Source organism: Homo sapiens, chromosome 3 (genome assembly GCF_000001405.40).
Source record: "Homo sapiens chromosome 3, GRCh38.p14 Primary Assembly".
NCBI classification, from domain to species: Eukaryota; Metazoa; Chordata; class Mammalia; order Primates; family Hominidae; genus Homo; species Homo sapiens.
The window spans coordinates 173,599,855-173,621,867 of record NC_000003.12 but is presented as its reverse complement, the minus strand read 5'-3'; the positions used below and the strand labels follow the sequence as shown (position 1 = coordinate 173,621,867).

General features: G+C 36.1%; 1 protein-coding gene across 32 annotated transcripts in view; it reads right to left on the bottom strand.

Annotated features, from left to right (window-relative positions):
- The window catches only part of NLGN1 (neuroligin 1), an 898,421-nt gene that overhangs the window by 672,505 nt on the left and 203,903 nt on the right, over nt 1-22,013 (bottom strand). For 26 of the 32 annotated variants that reach the window (XM_017005893.2, XM_047447706.1, NM_001365923.2 and 23 more), the window contains one exon: nt 16,777-17,589. In XM_017005893.2, the coding sequence (XP_016861382.1) occupies nt 16,777-17,269 (493 nt within the window). In that variant the 5' untranslated portion in view covers nt 17,270-17,589. Of the gene's footprint in view, nt 1-16,274; nt 16,335-16,776; nt 17,590-22,013 lie in introns of all 32 variants that reach the window. The other 6 variants (NM_001365924.2, NM_001365926.2, XM_047447707.1 and 3 more) reach the window with 1 other exon arrangement.

The following is a 22,013-nucleotide window of genomic DNA, read 5'->3' as shown; positions in this document are numbered from 1 at the left end:
TGCTGAAAATTTCACAAGCTAATCTATCCTCAGAGTAGATTTGGAAATAGGATTTATTAACAGCATCACCTTCCTCCCAACCATTTCATTTCCAATCTGTTGTCAACATTGCCAAGGCCTCCTTGTTCACTGTCCACCCCCATATGCAGTCACTTTCCAATTCTACTAATTTCTGCTTTGAAATGTCTCTCAAATTTGTTATCTTTTTATTTCCACTGCCAGTCACTTTTCATATAAACTACAGTGCTATTACCCCATATCTAGTCTCCTTTCCTGTAATTAATTCTCTACTCTTCCCATTCCCGGCCCACCCTTTACTGAAACCACTCTTGTTATCACAGCTCCTTGCCCAAAAACCATCAATGCATACTTGTTGATAGTAAAATGCCTCATCCTGACCCTCCAGGGTTCTGATATTTTACCACAATCAATATTTTATCACAATTCAATATTTTATGTGCTCTAATCAACTGCACACTTACTGTCTCCCGACTTTACCAACTGTAATGCCTTTCCCCTTACCAGACAAAAGCCCTACATCTCTGCCTGTTGAAAGTCTATCCATCACTCAAGGTTAATTCCAAATATTATTCTTCTAAGATACCTTTCTGATTCAACCTAAACTTCATGAGTTCTTACATTTTTATGAAGAGCTATAACATTTCTTCCTCCTTAATGACCTCTCTAGTCTTGTAGTGTACATATTTGATTATTTGTAATCTGCCTTTATATCACATTTTGAGTACCCAAGTGCAGTACTTGTATGCTTCTGTGTGTCACTAATTTGTACAGACTTGATTTGTAATTCAGTACCTAGCATGAGGTGTGCCACACAGTAAATGCTCGGAAATACACGTTGAATTCAATCAATATGCATTTTCTGACTTACCAGTGTTCTGAAAACTTATGTTCATTTGTCTAGTCATTTATACAAATCTGCATAGATTATGCACCTGCTTGTTCTTTTTAGCAATTTCCACTACAACTAAATGATTTTGCTTTCTTTCCAGTTGACAGTTTATGATTTCCTGTCTCTGCATGTTTTTCTTCTCAATTTTGAGCTTACCCCAACCGTGGGTAAGCTGCAGAGTTATGATTCTTTCCCAGCCCCACTTCTGTGTTATCTATCTCTGTCTCATTCTGACATACTTATCTCTCTCCCAAGTTCTATTTTTAAAAGATGACTCAATAAAATAAATTCATATAGATGTCTTTATTTTCAAGAACTTACCTTTTATCTGGCATATGAGTGATTAAAAATTTGTTCAGTATTCCAGCCTGCCCTTCTGTTTATTTTCTGGTGCCTTTCCCCCTTTTTCTCCTCTAATTTTGACACTTTCTCTTTCCTCCAACTTATTTTTTTATTATTCTAACTCACTGTCTTCCCTATCCTGCCTTCTTGAGTTCCAGTGAAGAAACCACATTAGACAAGGCTGGTTAGGGGAAGTAAGGACATCAGGTCAAGGAGGAAGGTACTGGACAGTAAGACATCTTAGAGTCATCCTTGTTTCCATTATTTCCACAGTCTTGCCACCCCATAACAACCAATTACTCCACAAACCCTATGAAGCTGCCAAATAGATATCTCTTACCCTTTATTTCTTTATTTCTACCCCACAGTTATTGCCTTGGGTAAGGCCTTCATTGTCACTGACACACTAAGTTGTACTGAACTTCTAGTTATTCCCTATCGTGGTTTATCATCCTTGGATTCCATCATTTATACTGTTGTCAGAAAGAACATTCTACAGTGCTCATCTGATTATGTCAAGCCTTTACTTAAATCCCTCAATGACATCCTATCACCTAGAGAAATACTCCAAGCTCCGGAGACATCTGGATCCCACCTAGAGCTCCAGGCTCATCTCTCACTGTACTCTCTGATCACAAGCTGTTCTCTACCTAAAGAAGCCCTCTCCCACTCATCCCTGCACATCCTGTGCTCAGTGGATGGGCCACTTCCTCTTGTTCTGCAGTCATTTCAAGTATCATTACCATGATGAAGTGTTTTCTCTCCAGCTCCCATCCAAGATAGAGATGTCCATTCCCTGCCTTGGGTAGCATTCTACCATATGTAAATTTTACTTATTTCCCATAGCATCTCTAATGTTTGTTATAGTGAGTGGCTAAGGGCACAGTCAATGGAGCTAAACCATCTGGCATTGAATCCTGGTTCTGCCACTTTCTAACTGTGGAACCTTGCACAGTAACCTATCTGTGCCTCATATTTCTCCTTAGTAAAGTGGAAATACTAATAGTAACTTTTTCATAAGTTTATTGTGAAGATTAAGTAAGTTAATATATAAAGCCATTAAAACAATGCTTGGCCTGTGGTAGGCACTATACAAATTGTAGCTATTATAATAATGATTTTTGTGAGTCCTTGCTTGATTGTCCCCTATGACAAGTACCAAGTCTTCCTGTTTTTATCTTCGGGGTCCAGCATAGCCCCTAGGACTCATTAAACACTCAATAATTGTTTGATCAGATAATGAACAAGTGCGTTAAAACAAGAATAACAGAATAATAGAGGAACAGATCTTTTATTTCCCAAAGTTACAACATGTCTTTTTTTCATTGCTCCCCTTAGATGTGAAGGGAACTAACTGTAAGGGTAAAAATACAAGTGGTCATAGTGTTTTAGTTGAGAGTTTTAATCTAATTATTCAGTGTGCACAGAGGGTTTCTATTCTATCATCTCTCATAATTACATGAACATTTACTGATGTGCACCATGGGGAAAATGCCAGCAAAACCAGGAAACAAGATTGGCTAAATAATTCGTAGGATCCAGTACAAAATGAAAATGCAGGATACTTTGTTCAAAAAGTATTATGAATTTCAAGACGGTGAAAAAAGATTGTTTAACCAAGGGTGAGGCCATTCTGAGCTCAGGGATCAGCCGGACTGCACAGACTACCAGCCCATGAAGCCAGCCCTGCCAGAAATCCAACACCCTCTTCTCTATCACTCTGCAATGTGTTCTGAGGCACAGATCCAGTTGATCTCGCTGCCAGCTTTATCTCTCACTGCCAGCTTTATCTCTCACTCCTAGATTGAGATGTTATAGGTCAATAACATTCTTAGTATGCCTCTCCACCACCACTCTCCAGGATTCAGCCTCCACCATCCACTAGAAAAGCCACTGGCCACTCTATTTATCTCAGTGATCTAACTGGCCCATTTTCCACCATACTCAAAATGCTCCTTCATTTATCAGCTGTTTTGGGGACACTAACCATGTTCCAAACACTCTGCCTATGGTGATAAATAATATATAATATAGTCTCACTCTCTCGTTTCCTTCATTTTATAAAGTGATTTCTGGCTTGCCCTGGGAAATCTGTGGTTGCTAATATCTAATAAAAGAAGAAAAGACATAGTGGCTCATGCCTGTAATCCCAGCACTTTGGGAGCCCGAGGAAGGAGGATCGCTTGCAGTCAGCAGTTAGAGATCAGCTTGGCCAACTTAGGGAGACCGCATCTCTACAAAACAATTTAAAAATAGCCAGGTATGGTGGTGTGTGTCTCTAGTACTAGCTATCCAAGATGCTGAGGCAGGAGGATCACTTGAGCCCATGGGCTCAAGGATTACAGTGAGCTACCATCTTGCAACTGCATTCCAGCCTGGATGATAGAGTGAGACCCTGTCTCTAAAAAAAAGAAGAAAAGAAGAACAATGACAAAAACCCACTGAATTCACGTATATGTTTATGGTGATAACCAACGGAAGGCCAAATCATAAGGAATGAGAACCCCACACAGGCCATTGGAGAAGCTATTTAATGCTATATAACCCCTTAAACAAATACAATTCGACCTCTTCTTAGATTATCTGGTATTCAGGCTTCTTGCCTCTCATAATCTCAAGTTAAATGCCTTGGAGAAAACGTTAGCAAGAAGTCCTATTTACAGAGGTAGATGGTAAAACAAGGAAAAAAGAAAATAATTAGAAGATATATTTGTCAGGGGAGGGAAATTGGGGTTGAATAAGAAGAAAAAGATTAAAATAGAAGGTGGGAAAGGAAAAATGAAGCTTGTGTCTACTAAAGAAAAACCATTTTCAGTGCTCCTATTACACAAATGCATTGTCGGCATCCTGTATTAAAATATGAATTCAGTGCAGAGGCAATAAGGCTGGCAGTAACGTGCACAGGCAGAAAGCCAAGAGCTCTGGCTGTTGGCAGCCACTTGGCCTCGAGGGCCCGTGACAGAGTCCAGGTTATATCTGTCAGACTCTGAGCCACTGAACACTGTTATTTCTTAGTTAAAGACTCTGATGTTGGCTTTGAAATTTACTTCATTTGGGGAGCACTGCGCCATAAACAAACAGTGATGGCATAGCAGAAAGGAACAGAATTTACTATGTCTGGTGAGGAATTACTGCAGGTGTAGTATTACTCAAATAAATGCAGATGGTGGGAGATGAAGGCTCTCTCCAACAAATTGCATTGTTTCTTAAGGTTGATTATGTTTTCAATGAATGTTTATTGAATTCCTTGTGAATGCTATAGATATAGCAGTGAGCAAGAGAAACGTTCTTCTGGGGCAGTGAGAGAGTAAATATCAGCACATAAATGAACAAAATAATTTCATATGAAGATACAAATGTAATGAAGAAAATAACCACAAAGATATCAAAGAATAACTGGAGGAAAAGGGTAGGGTTATCTTGATAGGTTGATCAGCAAAGGCTGTTTTGACAAGGTGGCATTTTTCCAAAACTTGAATTATAAAACTTAGTCTGACATGAAAAGAGGTAGAGGTACATTAAAAGTAGAAGGATCAGCATGTGCAAGGGTCCTGAGGTAGGATGGAGGTTGACTATTCCAGGAACAAAAAGAATATCAACAAAGCTAGAAAGTAGAGAGAAGGGAGAAATATACAGAAGGAGATTGAAACGGCAGACAAGAGTTACTACGTAGAGTCTTACAGAGTGTTCTAGGCGATAGTAGGGAGTTCTACATTTATTTAAAAAGCAATAGAGAATCCTTGAGGGGAATTAAGAAAGAGGTGATATAATTTGATTTCAGACTTTAAAGCAAAGATCACACTGGCTGCTATGTGTAGAAGAGATTGCAGAAGCAGGAATGGGAATAGGAAGAACTGTTAAGAGGCTATTACAGTGGTTGAGGCAAGAAATGATGGAGGCTCTCGATCAGGATGCGAGAAATGGAGAAGGAAGGAGAGCGTGCACCAGGGAAGAAGGATGGTGTCTGCAGGTGTCCTGAATGTCGGGAGTAAGCAATGCCTGTACACAGCCCTGAAAGGTCTCCTCATGTCGGGAGGGTTGGCTTCTATAGATTCCCAATTAGTAATACCTCACTTATTTGAAGCCTACATCTTCAGCGGCCTGTTATTCAGAACATAAAACTGAAAAAATATTACCATCAAACAAAGTCTATATATTTAAGTTCCCATGGGTTACAGATGGTGAAAACTCTCATTTTGAGTCCAGTTTTTTTCACAAACAAGTTTTTCTGTTTGTTTGCGTGTCTCAAGTGTGGGTGACAGATCAGATTCAGGACTACAGAAGTGAGCAGATAGTGTTTCTAAAATCCTGGCAAAGTGAGATTAGGAAGAAGAGACAACTGATATCCATGCAAAAAAAGAGAACACACACATATTTTTAAAAAGCACTCAAAAATATTTTAATATCTGAAATATGGTCCCATAGACTACATTAGCCTTTGAAGGTATTGAGAGACTACAGTATTTATCCGTGAGTGCTCATGTAAGGGGTAACTTCTATTTCAAAATCTCAAACCACAGATACCTCTCCTGTGTGTTCCCTCAATGCCCCTTGCCTCCTTTCCTCAGGGTGCTTACTACATTGTTATTTTCTCTTTCTGTATCTGCCTCCCCCACAAGACAGTGAACTCTTTGAGGGCAGCTCTTTAATGCCTTTTTTTATCTCAGTATCTCCAGGACCTACCCCAGGGCTCTGCACTGAGAAGACTTCCAACAAAAGTGAGAAAAAGCCCTAGAACATCAGCTGTTCATTTTTACTTCTGGAAGCAACAGCCTGTAATCCAGCAGCTGTTGTATCAGTAGCCAAAGCATTCCCCAGCTTTAAAGAGATTTGTATAGGTACACTTTAGGCTTTAAAAAAAAAAAAAAAAAACAGATGGATGGAAAGTTTTAAACCATTGCTTCTTGGCAGAGCAACTAAGGTGGGCTCAGGCAACAGGGCTGATATAATTATAGTTTTGGTTATGCCTGATGTGTTTTATTCTGATGTGCATATTTTGTGCTCTATACACAGTTTAAAGATTTAATTAAATGTTTTATTATGGGGAACACAGTGCCAAATATCAGCATCATTACCTTTTCTTTCTTTACAGAAGCAGCTATTTCCTCATTTTGTTTTTTGGAGATTTTAATACATATCAAACTTACATTTACTTAGTAATATTGACACGGACATCAACAAAAAAAGCCCTATTTCTTGTTACTGAGGTTTTTCTTGCAATGTAAATAAACCCTCTGAGGGCAAAGAACATCTCTTTCCCAAAGTGCCAGATGGGGCACTTTGTCCATAGTAGGCCATGGCTGAGAGAGACAGGAAACAGCCAAACTGGGAAACCTGAGGCAGGGCCTCCAGGACACAACACCAGCAAAGCAACAACACCAAAAAGAATAACAATCAATCAATCAATTAATTGATAAAAGCACCACTTGCAATAGTCAAAGTTTCTACCTGATGATAGTCTGAGGCCCCAGTAAATATTATACAAAGTTTTATGTTTTCTTCCCCTCTACCCCTATAAGAACACCCTTTGCTAAACTGCGGAGGTGGCCAAAGAATTTCATAAAATAAATACAGAAGAAAAAAAAACAACTCATCTCTGGCCTTTCAGAGTCAGTTGGAATACAAAATCATTTAAGCGGCCATTTTAGGAAATATTTTCTCCTCAGAATGCAAATTTATAAATATTTCCATTTTCACTGAAATGAAGTTATTCCTTAAATGAATGACTTCCAAACATTTTAATAAGGCAACAGAAGCTCCCTTTGCTCTGGAAGAAAGAAATCAAGGAAGGAGAGAAGAAAAGTGAAGAAAAGGAAAGAAATCTTTCCATTGTAGGTGGTGTCTCCATATACATATGTGTGAGGGATGAGGAAGCTGTCCAAGTGGGTGTGTGTGGGAGTGTGGGTGTTTGCTTTGGTGGGAAGTTGGGGATAGGTCAAGAGAAGCACTGATAGGCTGCTTGGCTGCCTAGCTTGGAGGAGCTCAGAAACCTCAGGATCTGCCTCCTTGTAAATTACTGTGCCAAAGCAACATATCAGTTCTCTTTAATGAAAGCTCAGAATTGCAAACTGAGGCCTGGCCTGCTCATTGTCAGGAAAGATGGTGCGCTGAGAAAGATGGTGAGCTGAGGAAGATGGTTTGTGGGAACTTAGCAGGGATGGAGAGTTAGAGGATGTTGCAGGCATTCTTCTTTTTAGAGATCCTCCACAGAACATACCTGTTCCCAAGAGGCCTAGGAGTCCAAATTAGGAAGCACATATATATTTTTAATAATTTTAACCAGGGATCCCTCTTCCTTTACTGAGAGTAGCTATAGTTACTACTACTCGACAGGGTTACATTACTTGTCCTAGTGTCAACCTGTCCTGTTCATACTTATCCCCCTGCCCCTGCTCATACTTATCCCTCTACCCCTGCTCTTCCTTCTTTCACTTTCCAATTAGGGGAACTCAGAAAGAAGACTCTAGAAGAGGAGCCCCAAACCTTTTGGAGAAAAGAAAATGTGAGCACTTTTGTAAGATGAAAAGGCAGATGTTTTTATATGCTTCTAAGACTAGGAGATGATATGGTCTTTTTTTTTTTTTTTAAGTGGAATAACTACTCCAAAGATCTTTGCCTCAAGAAAAAAAAAAGAAGAAGAAGAAAAGGAAAGTGAAGACTCCCTCCTTCATTCCTGCAATGGGGACCAAAAAATTAGGACCACTGTTCATTAATCAGATTTTTCTACTTTTAAAAATGATAATTATGGTTACAATGACTCCAGATCCTTTTATTTTCTTTTCGTCATTGCTTAAATCTGATTTTTGCAACATTTTACAGGCTTTCATGAAAATTATGAGCTATGCTTAAATTGCTTTAGTGGTATCATTTCATAGATACCAAATGAATAGGATTATAGTAAACAAAGAATTAGGTCTTAACTTAAAAATTATTTTAAAAATAACGTTGTTCAATTCCCTAAAGTAACAAATGGAACAGAACTGAAAAGCAATAATATTACAGTTTTAAATTGGTAGGATCTTCATTTTAACTTAAACCATGTTTGCATATAAGCAACCATCTGGATAAAATGTTTAAAATTCAAGAAATATATCAAAAAACTGAATCATTTTGTTGACACAAAGTCAAACACTTGGATTTATAAAAGCATATGGACTAATGCATCGTATCCTATCTTGATAGAAAAATACCAAAAAACAAATTAAAAGAACTTCTCAGGAGGGCACAGAAAATTCATTATCTGTAGGAAGGGTCATCGTGGTAAAGGGAGCTATCACATTGAGTTTTGATTTGAATAGGAGTCTCAGTACTCCTAACAGTCATGTGAACTTGGGCAACTTATTTAACCCCAATAAGCTATAGTTTTTCAACATTTAAAATAGACATAATGATAGAAACATTTGGGATCATTCTGAGGATTAGTTTGGAAAAAAGTGGCAATGTCCTTAGTGTCCTTCAATAACTTATGTCCAGCTGAACCTTCAGATGTGACAGTTATAGGTTGAATTGTGTCTCCCCAAAATTCTATATGTTAAAGTCCTAACCTGAGTACCTCAAATGTGACCTTATTTAGAAATGAGATCGTTACAGATATAATTAATTACGTTGAGGTCATTAGGTTGTGCCATAATCCAATATGACTTGTATCCTTCTAAAATATTGACCATTGGAACACAGACATATACACAGGCAGAAGGCCATGTGAAGAGACACAGGGAGAAGACAGCCATTGATAAGACACAAAGAGAGGCCCAGAACTGATTCTTCTTCGCAGCCCTCAGAAAGAACCAACCATGCCCATGTGCTGATATCAGACTTGTTAGTCTCCAGAACTGCAAAACAACAACAATTCTGCTGTTTACGCTACCCAGTTTGTGGTACTTTGTTACAGCAATTCACCAAAGCGATACAATGACCTTATTTGTAAATAGGCTTTTGTAAATATAATGAAGATGAGGTCACACTGGATTAGAAAGGGCCCTAAGTCTAGGGGCCAGCACCTGTGTAAGAAGACCGCATGAAGACATGGGGATGTAGGGAGACACACAGGAAAGAAAGCTATGTGACAACAGAGCTAGAAATTGGAGTGATGCAACTACAAGCCAAGGAACAGCAAGGACTATTAGTAACCTCTGGAAACTAGAAAAAAGCAGGGAGGTACTCCTGTAGAGCCTCCAGAAAGAGCCAATCCTTCCCACTCCTTGATTTTAAACTTCTTGACTCCAGACTTTGAGAGAATAAATCCCTATTGTTTTAAACCACACAGTTTGTGATAATTTGTTACAGCAGCCTAGGCAACTTATACAAGAAGTGTTACATAAAGTACTCTGTCCAGTTATAAAAGGCTATGTGAAGATTTATGATTAGAAATTATGCTTCTACAACTTGTCCAGAGTTTAAGGTGATCAAACTCAGAATGATTCTCCGGAATTGTTACTAGCAAACGTCTATACTGGTGTGACGTTCGAATTCTGCCATGTCCTAAACTACGTTAGCATGTCCTGCCAGGAGAGGAAGAAGGAGAAGAGTATTCATAGGAGAGATATTAAAGACCAGAATATTATCTACAAAATGTGTAATGGTGAGTAATATAGAACTCAACTTAAAAAAAAACCATTGCATTCTAATTATTAAGCTCATCGAATGCCATATATGTGAAAAGAATAAATAAGGAAAGATATTACATACGGTAGGAGAAAGGATAGCAGTTTTTACCAAGAATTTATTTTCTAGCATAACTCTTTCTGCTGGTGGCATAAATCTTAAATGTTTTCAACTTCAACCCCAGTTTCTATAAGAAAAAAAGTATTTATTCTTTGGAAAAATTGAATTGGACAACTATAATGGTCTTTTAATCATCTGCTTCAGGAGACTGTCTCTGTCTGTCAGTAAACAATGGAACAACTGATGTTGTTCTTTTAAAACTTTACAGCCCTTTAGATCTACTTCATTTCAGAGTCCCAACTTACACTGTTTAGCTTTTAGAAGACATAACCACATCTGTCCACAGTTACTAATTCAAATATGAAGCCAAATCTCTGGTTCAATATAGTTTTACATTCATCTTCAAACTCTAAGTGAACTAGGCGTTTTAATTATTTCAGTGTGTGGTGATTTTTCTACTAGCAAATTGGCCACCAATTTCATTTTCTATGTGATCTTAAATCCCATATAAACATGATTTTTATTGTTGCTTTGTGCTGTTTTTGTTGTTGTGTTTTAGTTCCTCCATTCTAAAATAACTCTTTCAAAGGAAACAGTTGGCCAACAACAAATTATGAATCTTTGGGCAAGATAATTTAACTTCTTTGTTCCTCCATTTCTACATCTGGAAAGTGACGGTGAGAACCTCACGAGGCTGTTGCGATATCAAATAAATTAATATGCCATGATGTCTAGACCATAGGAAGATCTCACTGATGTTAATTCTATCTTCATTTTCCTTAACATTACACATCAAACAATTGAAAGAATCAGATAACAGCAGAACCCCACTATACTTCTGCCCATGCACTCACACTCATGTACTGTGCATAGCAACATACTAATTTTTCTACCCACGTTCCTTCCTTTAATTCAAAATCTGCAAATCCCACCTTTCTCACCTACTGAAGGATACTGTTCCAGAATTTCTACCATCTTTTGCCTGTATTTAATATTGTTCGTTTGCTGTTGTATAAAAATATTTCTTTATTTCTTCTATCTTAACCTACCGTAACAAAAGCAACCTCTATTTTCCTCACTTCTCGTATTTTTCTGATGCCTTTTTAAAAAGCAAAACTCTTTAAAATAATTATTTATGTTAAGCCACTCCAAATCTTCACCCATTCTCTCTTAGACACACTCCAGTGTGTAAAACCCACACCACCCCACAAAAGTTAATTTGGCACAGTTGATCACTATGCCCACTTGGAGACATTTTCCTTACTTAACTTCCAGGCCAACAAAAAAAATCTTGGTTTACCTACCACCTCATACATAATTCTTTCTCAGTTTCCATTGCTGTCCTTCTCTTCTTCCAGACCTCATAATGTTGGAATGTTCCTATAAATTAAACCTTGTTGTCTTGTTTCTTTTGTTATCTTCATTCACTTCCTTTTATTCTCTCTCAAGCTCATGACTTGAAATCTTTACCTTCTATATTAGAGTAACTGCCAAATTTATATCTCTACATAGACCTTTCTCTCTACCTTAATTCAAGATATTGGTTCAAGAAACTGGCTTTTTGATGTCTTGACTTGAATGTCTAAGGGTCACCTCAAATTAAACATGTCCAAAACTAAACTTATTTTTGTACTCTGCTTCTCCCGTAACCCTTCTTCCTTTCCATCTTAATTGATGGCAAATCTATTATTCCAGGTATTCAGATAAAAAACATAGTAATCTTCTTTGACTTCTTCTTTTCTTTCACAGCCCACAGCAAATTGATCAAGGAATGTGATCTTTAAAATATATGAAGAATCTATCACTTCCGTGGTTACTACCCTGGTTTGAGCCTGGACCATGACCAAGTCTTACCTGGAGCCTCCTCTTACTCTCCCCATTTCTCCATGCTCTCCTACAACCTACTCTCAATACATCCACCAGAGTGACTTTTTAAAAATATCAAGTCAGATTATTCTGTCTCTCTCTCTTTTCCCCCTTTCCAGATCTGCTATATTCCTAATTGTTCCTTAAATATCTTTCTCTAGATACTCACTTTATCTCCTTCAGATCTTTGCTCGAATGAGGTAGTCTTCATTTTATTTTTAACTATTTTCACTCTCCATACCAGCACTCTTGGTCTTTCATACTCTGTTTCAATTTCTCACCCTCTCACACCTTTTTAATTTAGTTTTTATTGTGTTCATCATTTACAAACTGTCTCTACCACTAGGTTGTAAGCTTTATACAAGCAGGAAAGGTTTTTGTCTTCTTTTATTTACTCTGTACCTAGAGCAATACTCAGCACAGAGTAAGTACTCAATAAATAGTTGTCAAATGAATAAGTAAATGAGTGAGAAATGTATAAGCAAAAAGGAAGAACATTCTGGAATATAATCCCCTTTTAGAGTCTTAAAAACCTTGACAGTACTAGGAGTCATTGTTATACATATTAAATTAGGAAAAAATCAGTCCCTATGTTAAATAGACAACCAGACAAACCAAAAACCTGTGGAAAAGGCTCTTGAAAGAATTCAATATTATCTCAGGTAAAGACCATGAACCAGAGCACGTAAAACACTTTTGAAAATCACGACCAAAATGCTCAAAGAGTAAATGACTGTACCAGAGTCATATACAAAGATTTTAATCTTCTGCACAATACAAATTGGGGTAAATAGAAAAGCAAGTTAATGTCTCACAAGTGCAGGAATGAAAATTAGTTCTGTATCCATCTTAGAAGAGCTATGCAAATAATAGTAAAAGTGCTGGAGAAACACAAGACTACACAACTCTAGAGAATCCATGAGCCAGACAATGTGTTTGTGAATCCTCTCTGGGTCCTTTGTTTCTCCTTCTCATGTTTACTGTCTAATATTTGACCACTTTCTTGTTTGTTAGCGACTCTCACAGGAGAGCAACCTAAAGAAACAGAGGGAAACTTAAGCAAGTTAAAGCAACTCCTTGATAGCAGCCAGGAGGAATATGTGGGGATCTTAATCTGGACAGTAAGAAGCATGTGGTATTATTAGATTGGCGCAAAAGTAATTGAGGTTTAAAGTATTCACTAAATGATTACTGAATATATTTTTGGAAATTGGCTGCTAACATTAGCTTGATTCAATTCAATTAAGGTGAGCATTAAGTCTGTCTAAAATACGGTCAACTGATAGAATAAAAAGAACTCATGACATATTTGAATGTGTTAAAGAAAGAAGGAAAAAAGAGAGAGAGGAAGGATGGATAGATATAAGTCTCTGCTATGGAAATCATCACAGGAGGTAATTTAACATAACGGAAATCTATCTAATGTAAAAAAGAATTAAGGCCAAACTTGCCTCTACCACTAACTAGCAGCCAGTGGTAAGGTTGGAATACCTAACTTTTCAGAGTCTACCTTCTTACTTGTAAAATAGAGATAAAAAGTTTAAAATTAAAAAACAGACAGAGTAATATACTTTTCTCCTAATGTTGCTATGATGATTAAATGGATAAATTACGCAAAACACCTAATATATAAAACCAGGTGTCTGTTCTCCACAACCAAACTCCAGTTTCTATCATGTTATCTGCCTGTTTGTTCAAGTGTTGAAAATCATCTCATTTTAAGAATTCATTCTTCTTTTCCATTTTGTAAGGATAAAACTCTGAAGAAAGATCTAGAGGTTAATTAACATATGGCTAAAACTATCATGGGAAATATTAAAAAACAGATTAAAAAGTACAACTGGGACCCGTTTTAAAATGAAGGCAGCCTATTGATAAAAATGAGCTTTTTTCTTTAATTGCAGGAAAATATTGTAAATGCTCTATTTAAAAATTATAGAACAACATCTCTTGGAGGAGGGATAAGATTTCTTTTCTTTTATACACAACAAAGTACAGAAAATACTTTGCTCTTTGTAAAGTTGTTTGATTATAAGTTCTATGGGAAGAGGACTGACTTGAATAGTATGTGGCTTGTAATTGGCAATTAGGAAATAGTTTTGCATGAATACAATATGCACAGATTATAGAGTACTTGGCTCAGGGATGGGAGTCCATCTGTCTCTGCAGGTGATCCATACATAATAAAAGAATAAATAATAACAAGACAGGATTTTAATGGCATCTAGATAAAAGGCAAAGCAGCCACTCTCACAGTTCCTGAACCATCATTCATAAAGTCCTGGCAAAGCAACTATTCTCACAGTTCCTAAACCATCATTTATACACTCTTGGCATTCTACTGAAAATCTCACAGTCCACATGCAGTATATATTAGTATATATATAAACAGATATAAAGGGACTAATAATTTCTTGACTCCCAAAATATGGTATCTTGAAATAACCAAAATAGCCCCTTCATGGTAGAAAAATAATTTAAAAAAACAGGTAAAAGTTCGGAAAAATGATTTCTACTCCTCTAGTTAAAAGCTAAACTCTAAACTTTAGTTTTTGTTTATTTTAAAAATACTATTTATATAATAAAATTACATCAAAAATTTTTGTTATTTAGACTTTAGGATAATGTACAAAGAGCTAATAAATGAGCAGAATGTATTTAATAATAATAATTGGATATATTAAATTCCCAAGCCAAAATGATTTTTAGAATGCATAGTTAATAGTATGAATAAGCACAACCGACTTAAACTGTAAACCATACAAGCTCAAGTGGGCATTGATAGATGTTGTCCTCATTCTAATTATTACTTAGTTCAGAGTTTGTGAAGGTAAATAGCATTGCCTACACATCTCTTTGCCAACTCTCTTACTAAAGCAAATGGAACCAACAATACAAAGAACAATGAAAAAGAATTTTCTAATAAATCTTTTATCCTCTAAAGTTGTATGAGAAGAAAGGTCACTTTCTCACTCACTAGCTTACCTTTTGGTGCTCTTATCTTTTTCTTCATCATACATGTTTTTATTTATTATGCTCTATGCATTCTTCAATAGCATCTTTATTTATGACTTTGTGAATCAACATCTTTGTAATAGGAGGCGAAAGTCACTTAGCTAATTACACATGCTTGATAAGCTGCATCATAATAACTACTGCAGTATTGTACATTAATTAAAGGTATGTAAATTACTGCAGTTATTTTCATTTGCAGAAAAAAAGAGACTTTTTTAGTCATTTAAAACACCCTTATTGCCTCCATATCCATCTTCTTAAGTATAGTGTGCTTTTAACCCAATTCATAACATCAATAAAGAATGAAGGTTAAATCCCACTCTACCAGTATTACCCAAGAAATAACAGCAAAGACAAAGCAAACAAAAAAACCCTCAATTTAATGCAAATAATTCTGAACTGAGTTATGAATTTTGTTATTTATAAAGTGTCTTCCATATAAATGCAATCCCAGTAGAACAGAACAGTTTAGACATTCCCTGCCCCACAAGGATGCTATAATGAAATCTGACTTGGTCCAGCCAGGATATTAGAAGTGCATAGAGAGATAGAATGTGCAGCATTAGAATATTAATATGACTTCTGTATGAAGATTGGAAATTCTACAAAGTTATGAACAAGGTCAAAATAACACTTAGATGATTTACTGCCATAGAAAAGCATACTCTCCTATGAGTGATTTACTGAATGTTATATAAAAGTGGAGTGTGGACAAGCTACATTCAGATGCAAGCTTGCAGCTGTCAGTGTCTACATTTGCTCAATCTGGCTAGAGGATGATTTGAAGGTTGATTTAATTGTAGCTTCTGAATCATGCACTTCTCTATGTTTTAAATTGTTTAACGTAAATATAAAAATGTTAAAGTAATTTTAAGACTGTAAATATTTAGTATCAAATCTGCAAAATCTCATTCTCCTCTGGAAAAGTGACTGAAAATGAAAAGACTAAGAAAAAAACACTATTACCTTAATAATAATAATTGCTCAATAATTATGGAAAATTTATCCTTAGGATGAGAAAGTCCATAGAGTGTTCAGATGGAATGCTGAGAATAAACAAAACAACTAGATTTGTGATTGAGTGATCAAATTCTAAGAGGAACACAAATATATATCTGTAGAAAAGAGTTCAGAGATCAAAGTTACCAGTTCCTAAGACAGCATTGTTTTGGTTCCTTGCAGGTATCATAATAGCCTAAGTACATATTCCACTAAACACAAACTCAAAGCCAAGATTCAACTCTTGCCGATGCTACCAGCACCAGAACACAAGGCACAACCAATGAGCTTTGCCAATGTAATCTACTCAGCTAGAGCTCTCCTTAAACACCTTTATATTCCTTGACAGCCTTCATCAGATTCCAAACATCACCTAACCATTTACTTCCCAGCATCAGCAAATCATCCTTAGGGAGAGTATCTTGTTCTTCCTCTGCAAGCTTTTTCCCCCATTTTTAATTTCCACTTTTATACATACCTCCTTTTCTACATATTTTCTTGCCGGGCTTTCTGGCACATTCCTTGGATATTCTTTTTACTGAAAAATGAATAGAAGACTAGAAAATAACATGGCGCTCCATCATAGACCGCCGGAACATGCAACACCACTATCTAACTCAATACGCTCCTGCATTTACTGAGTGCGAAAGATCCCCAATTCGTTGAGCCTGCACATGCAATGAGGAAATGTTGATGCATCTTCTCAGAAGTCATTTGGTAGGAAATGGAAATTAGAAACCCATTTCTACCTAAATATACGTGCTGTGGAGGAAAGAAAATGAGTAAGCACAGGAAAAAAATAAGTACAGATACACTGACACACATAAACAAAAAGAGCACCATGCACGCATGTAAAATATGTCTACATGCCAACAGGAAAAGCCATGCATACTACCAGTACACATGAATTAATATTGTTAGAACTTAGAATAGAAAAAATATATAAATATATCTCCCTGTTTTTCCTGCAATAAACTCACCATCCTCAGTCGGGACATATATATTTAAATATAGGCAGTCTTCGCTCTGGTCTTGCACATATGATGAAACCACATCCAAGTTATTAGTAAACCACACAGGAAGCATGACTTCTGGCAATCTGCCATCAATGATATTCTGGGGACACACAGGAGCAAATTGAGTGGCATTTCTGATATCTGACCAGGGAGATGGTGGTTCTGGAGGCTGAAAACGACGTTCCCCTGTTGGTGGGGCTGCATATGGAACCCCAAGAAATTGAATAACAGGCCCCAAAATTTCATTATTGAGTTCCTTCTTAATCCCTCTTATCTTTCCAAAGTTGGTAGCCACCAGTGGGTCCACATCATCCAATTTTTGTGATAGCACATGGCCAGCCTGAAGCAAACATCCCAACATACAGAGAGTCAATGGGGCACCCAATCCCCGGTGTACCAAGCATGCCATCACTGCTCTCCAAACATAATTTGGCCACGTGCATCTGGGCAGTGCCATGGTCCCACATTAGTTGTCTAGTTGTCTGGTTACAGTGAGGCAAACGTATTTATATCCACTTGAGAAAGACTGTATAATGGTAGAATATACCTCCGATTTCTTACAGGGGAGCTTGTCGAGAAAAGCTCTGAAAGATCTTCAGACAGCAGATATCTCCCATTGATTTCACATGTATTGGAGCAGCATCTTCAATCATCACTATTTATCAGACCATATCCTATTGAACATTCTGTTTTCCATATTAGCAGTGTGGCAAGAGTGGGCATTGACTGCAGATTTCTCTCTTATAAATCAAATCCAGTTAGCTGCAGGTCTATATCCTAGAAAAAATGAAAATAAATCATGAGCTGGAACAAGCTAACATAGACAGTGTGATAACTAGATGTTTTACAATCTACAGAAATACATTAATAATGACTAGCATCAGGTAAGTTAAATGTTACCATAGGAAAATCATCGATTGAAGTGAGATGACAAGTAAACTAACTGATTATAAGATTATTGAGAAATGCATCTGCTGACTTTATATACATTTACATGGAAGCAGGCTTTATTAAAATACACAGTTTTAGAAACATGTCACAGTAAATTATTTAAAAATACTGAATGTTAGGTGTGAAATTTATACTTTATTAATAGTCTTCAATCACTTCAAGCAATAGAAGATTAATCTGTTTCAGTTTTAAAACCCAATAGCAGAAAATATTTTAAGAAACTGGCAGTAAACTAGCAGAACAGATACAAACTCTGTAAGAATGATTGTATGCATTGGAAAACAAACAAAAAGGTGGCTCCCAATCCCATGCTTATCAAAAAAAGCAAGATAATATGAGGACAAGAAAATTCATATGAGTTCAGCTATGATTATTCAGATGAAACTACCTCACTTCCTTGCTGTATCTCAAATGTTTTCATAAAATTTTGCTTATAGGTTTCCTATTTGAAATTAAGATTCAAGAATTTAAAAGAGAAAATGGCATTAGATACAATTTGTAAAAGGGATAGAAGTTTACATCTTTTTTTGCAGACAAGTTATTTTACCATCTTGCTATATATTATAGATATCAATAAATTTGCAATGCAAAAATTAATTTATGACTCAAAGTCAATATATTTTAAATTACAGTTTTTTTCTCACTGTCTGTTAGAGATCAAAGGAAGATTACAAAAAGAGAGTGTGGTGATTAAAAAAATAATCATACCTAATCACAGCATCTTGCATATTAACACTAATCAAACATCTATCACTGTTTACACAGTTCAACTTAAACTGCATCAGACTAAAATATAACATTCAGTGCAACGTAATCCACAGAGCAATGTGATGTTAACTGTCAAATAACACACAGCTCAAAAAATGTGTCTTTTCTTGTTCAAGCAACCTTTTGAAGTGCTTACTTTGAAAATAAAGTGTTGATTTGTATTAGAGATGGTTCTATCCTGTATATTATGGGAAGATTGCTAAAGAAGTGTTGGTCTGGCAGTGAGACTGCCCTGACTTTGTGTTACTTAAAAGGAGATTGTAAAAACTATATAGGGCAGCAGGAGATTTGGTTCTGGCCTAGTGTGTCTTTAGCTCTGAACAATCCATCACAGAAGGCTATAAGGAGATAAATGTCTTTCCTTGAAAATACTTTAGTCTGTGTTAATTCACATACCTTTGCTGTGAAAGCACATTAATATACAAAAGACAAGCTTAGACCAATCCAATTCCTGTTCCAGAACTCTAGCATTTATCGAAGATTCAGCTACACAAACCCATTTCTGTAAAGTGTATATAATGCTGACTCTTCTGCAGCATCATAGTGGGCCACAGCATGAATGAGTCTTTGCAAGTTCCTTTTGGTGTTAAAAATGCACTGTTTTGACACCTAACTCAGAGAACCTGTGGTGAGGTCTTAAAAGTCCATCATCATGTTTTATTCAACCTAATTTTCAAGTACTCTACAGCAATTTCCAAAAGTTTTTCTTCGCACAACTGATATCAAATACTTGTTTTGTTATTAACAAAATAACACTCCTTTTTTTGTACTTAGAAATCCCTGTGTTAAGGATAAAGAAGCTCCTGTTTCCCACTGATGTGCTACTTTAACGCAAATTGCACAGGATTGGAATTCTGCATGCCATGATGGATTTTCAAATTTGAATGATGTTTAGCTCCTGAGGTTACAAAAATATCCCATTTTACATGTTGTATGTTTGGAGAACTATAGTATTGACCCCCCAAAATTTTCAGAAGTTGCTACTATAATAATAGCAGTCATCCAAATCAAATGTAAAAATGTGGCTTATTTAAAGTACTAAAATTTAAAAAAATATATGCCTAAACAGAAAGTCTCAAATTTGTTGACAATTTTCCCCCTATTTATTGATGCTTCCTTAGTATATTAAAAATTCCTCAGTTTTCATGCATTTATGTCTCATTTACAACCCTATGAAGTGGATTCAACAGTTATCCCCTTCTTACTCATGAGGAACTCAGACTTGAAGAGGTTAATTTTTACCTTGGCCAGGGCCTCTTAGCTAATTAGTAGCAGATCCAGGAGCCCGTTGCTATCTGATTTAAAGGCCATCCTTATGATCACCGCACATAATACAGTCCCTCAATTCACAATGATCACTTTTTAAGAAATTGATCCTAGTGTATTTAAAATTGAACTGTAAAAGTATTTTATGTTTCTTCAGAAGACGAAGTCTCAGTAAATATTCTGACAGTTTCATAGGACAGAGAAATTAAAAAATGATCTACCCTATTCTTATTGGAAGTTAATATTTTATTTTGCTATATATTTTTATACATATTTTACCAGTTTTACTCTATTGAATGTAGTGATAGGTTTCTCTTACGTCATTACACAAAATCATGTTAAAACAATGATTTGTGTAATAATTTGGTTATTTATTAGTAACCAAAAAAACCCCAAACTATGACAACCTAAATGTCCATCAATAGATATTGATAAATTAATTATGATGTATTCAGAAATTCAAATTGTATACATTAGTGAAAATAAAGGACCTAAACCCAAAATATCAACATATATAAATCTCAAAATTTTTGGCAAAACAAGTCACAGAAAATTAGGTACAGCAAATACTATTTAAAGCTTAAAGTATGTAAAAGAATATTATATATTATTCTCAAATACATAAATACATAGTAACAGGATAGCTGTCATCTCTGAGTAGAAAGGAAAGAGAATAAGGCTCATTCTAGCAACTAATCAATTAATTGGGCCAATTATTTAATTGACACCTAAGACGGATAACCTGTGGTAAGGCCCTAAAAGGCCAGCAGCAAACTACAGCAAGTTTGACAAAACTTTAGTATTTGAATTCCCTGTATTCTTTTGTATGTTTGAAATATTTCAGAATGTATTAAAATAAGAAGGCCAGAAAATCTTACTCAGTAGACCAAATCAGATATTACCCACAGATTAGCCTATCAATCCACACATAGGACGAGCTTCGTCTGACTTCGAAGTCAATGGGGATACTAGCTCATAAATTTCCCCATTATTCCTCTTTTTGACTTAAAGCATGTATAGTCCCACTAACAGAATAAAATAAAAATAAATAATAATTAAAAGTGCATCATAAATGGTAATACATTTTCTCCCTTACATTAATTCATCAAAAGCTGGTCCCTCAACTAGTTTGTTTCTGAGAAACTCAGAAAAAGGAGTAGGGAGAACATTAGATAACTACAGTGGGTGGCCACATTCATCCAATCTTTCATTCACTCAACAAACATTAGATATTTACAATGTGCAAGCTATTGCACTGAATGTTAAGGAGAATTGAAAGACATGAACAATCTACTCATTACTCCCAAGTAGCTTATGACATTGTAAAGGAATAAGTAATCTAAAAAAAATTACTCTAATGCAAGATGAAATGTGACATGTGTTCAATAAATACATGATGAATGTGGGAGCAGGGCCTAGCAGGAAATATCTGACTTATAACTTTACGTACCTTTTACATATCTTTTTCTAAAAAAAAAGATATGTTTTTATTTCTACCTTGCTTTGTTTTCTTGTTTGCATTTATTTGTTTTCTTGTTGAACTCAACTCCTCCCTGCTAAATTTCTTACCTGGGGCAAGACTTTGCATATGTGTTTTAAAAAATATCTTTATGTCCCTCATAAAATGTATATGAAAATTTGTTATATAGTGCAAGCATGGTTGAATCTCAGTTGGTCTGGATTGGACAGCATGGTTACCATTAGAGCTCCCTGGCTTGATGGTGACTCTTAACCAATGCTATACAATATAGAGTGGATCCTTGTTATTCATGGTAGTTATGTTCTATAGTCATGATGAACACTAAATTAGGGAACACAGACCTTTTGTTTTTAAAGACATACACGTGTGTGTGTGTGTGTGTGTGTGTGTACACACATGTACACACATGTACATAGATATACCCACATACATAGATATACAAATCTCACATAGATTATAGGTTATAATCCTTAATGCTTGCAACTAGTAGATTCTGTTTTATTTTATGAAAGAAAAACTGAGGTTCTAAAGCATTAAGTGCCTGAGGCCACCTCACTAACAGGTGCTAGAGTTGGGATTAAAATGCCCCCCAATTGATCCCAAAGATGAAGCATCTTGCACTGCACTGCACGGCCTCTACTATCTCCAATCTGTGTTCATAAAGTAGAAACAAGAAGGCAGAGCAATGCCTTGTTTGACTTCAGCTGGCAAGATGCTCATAGGGTGACAAAGTTTT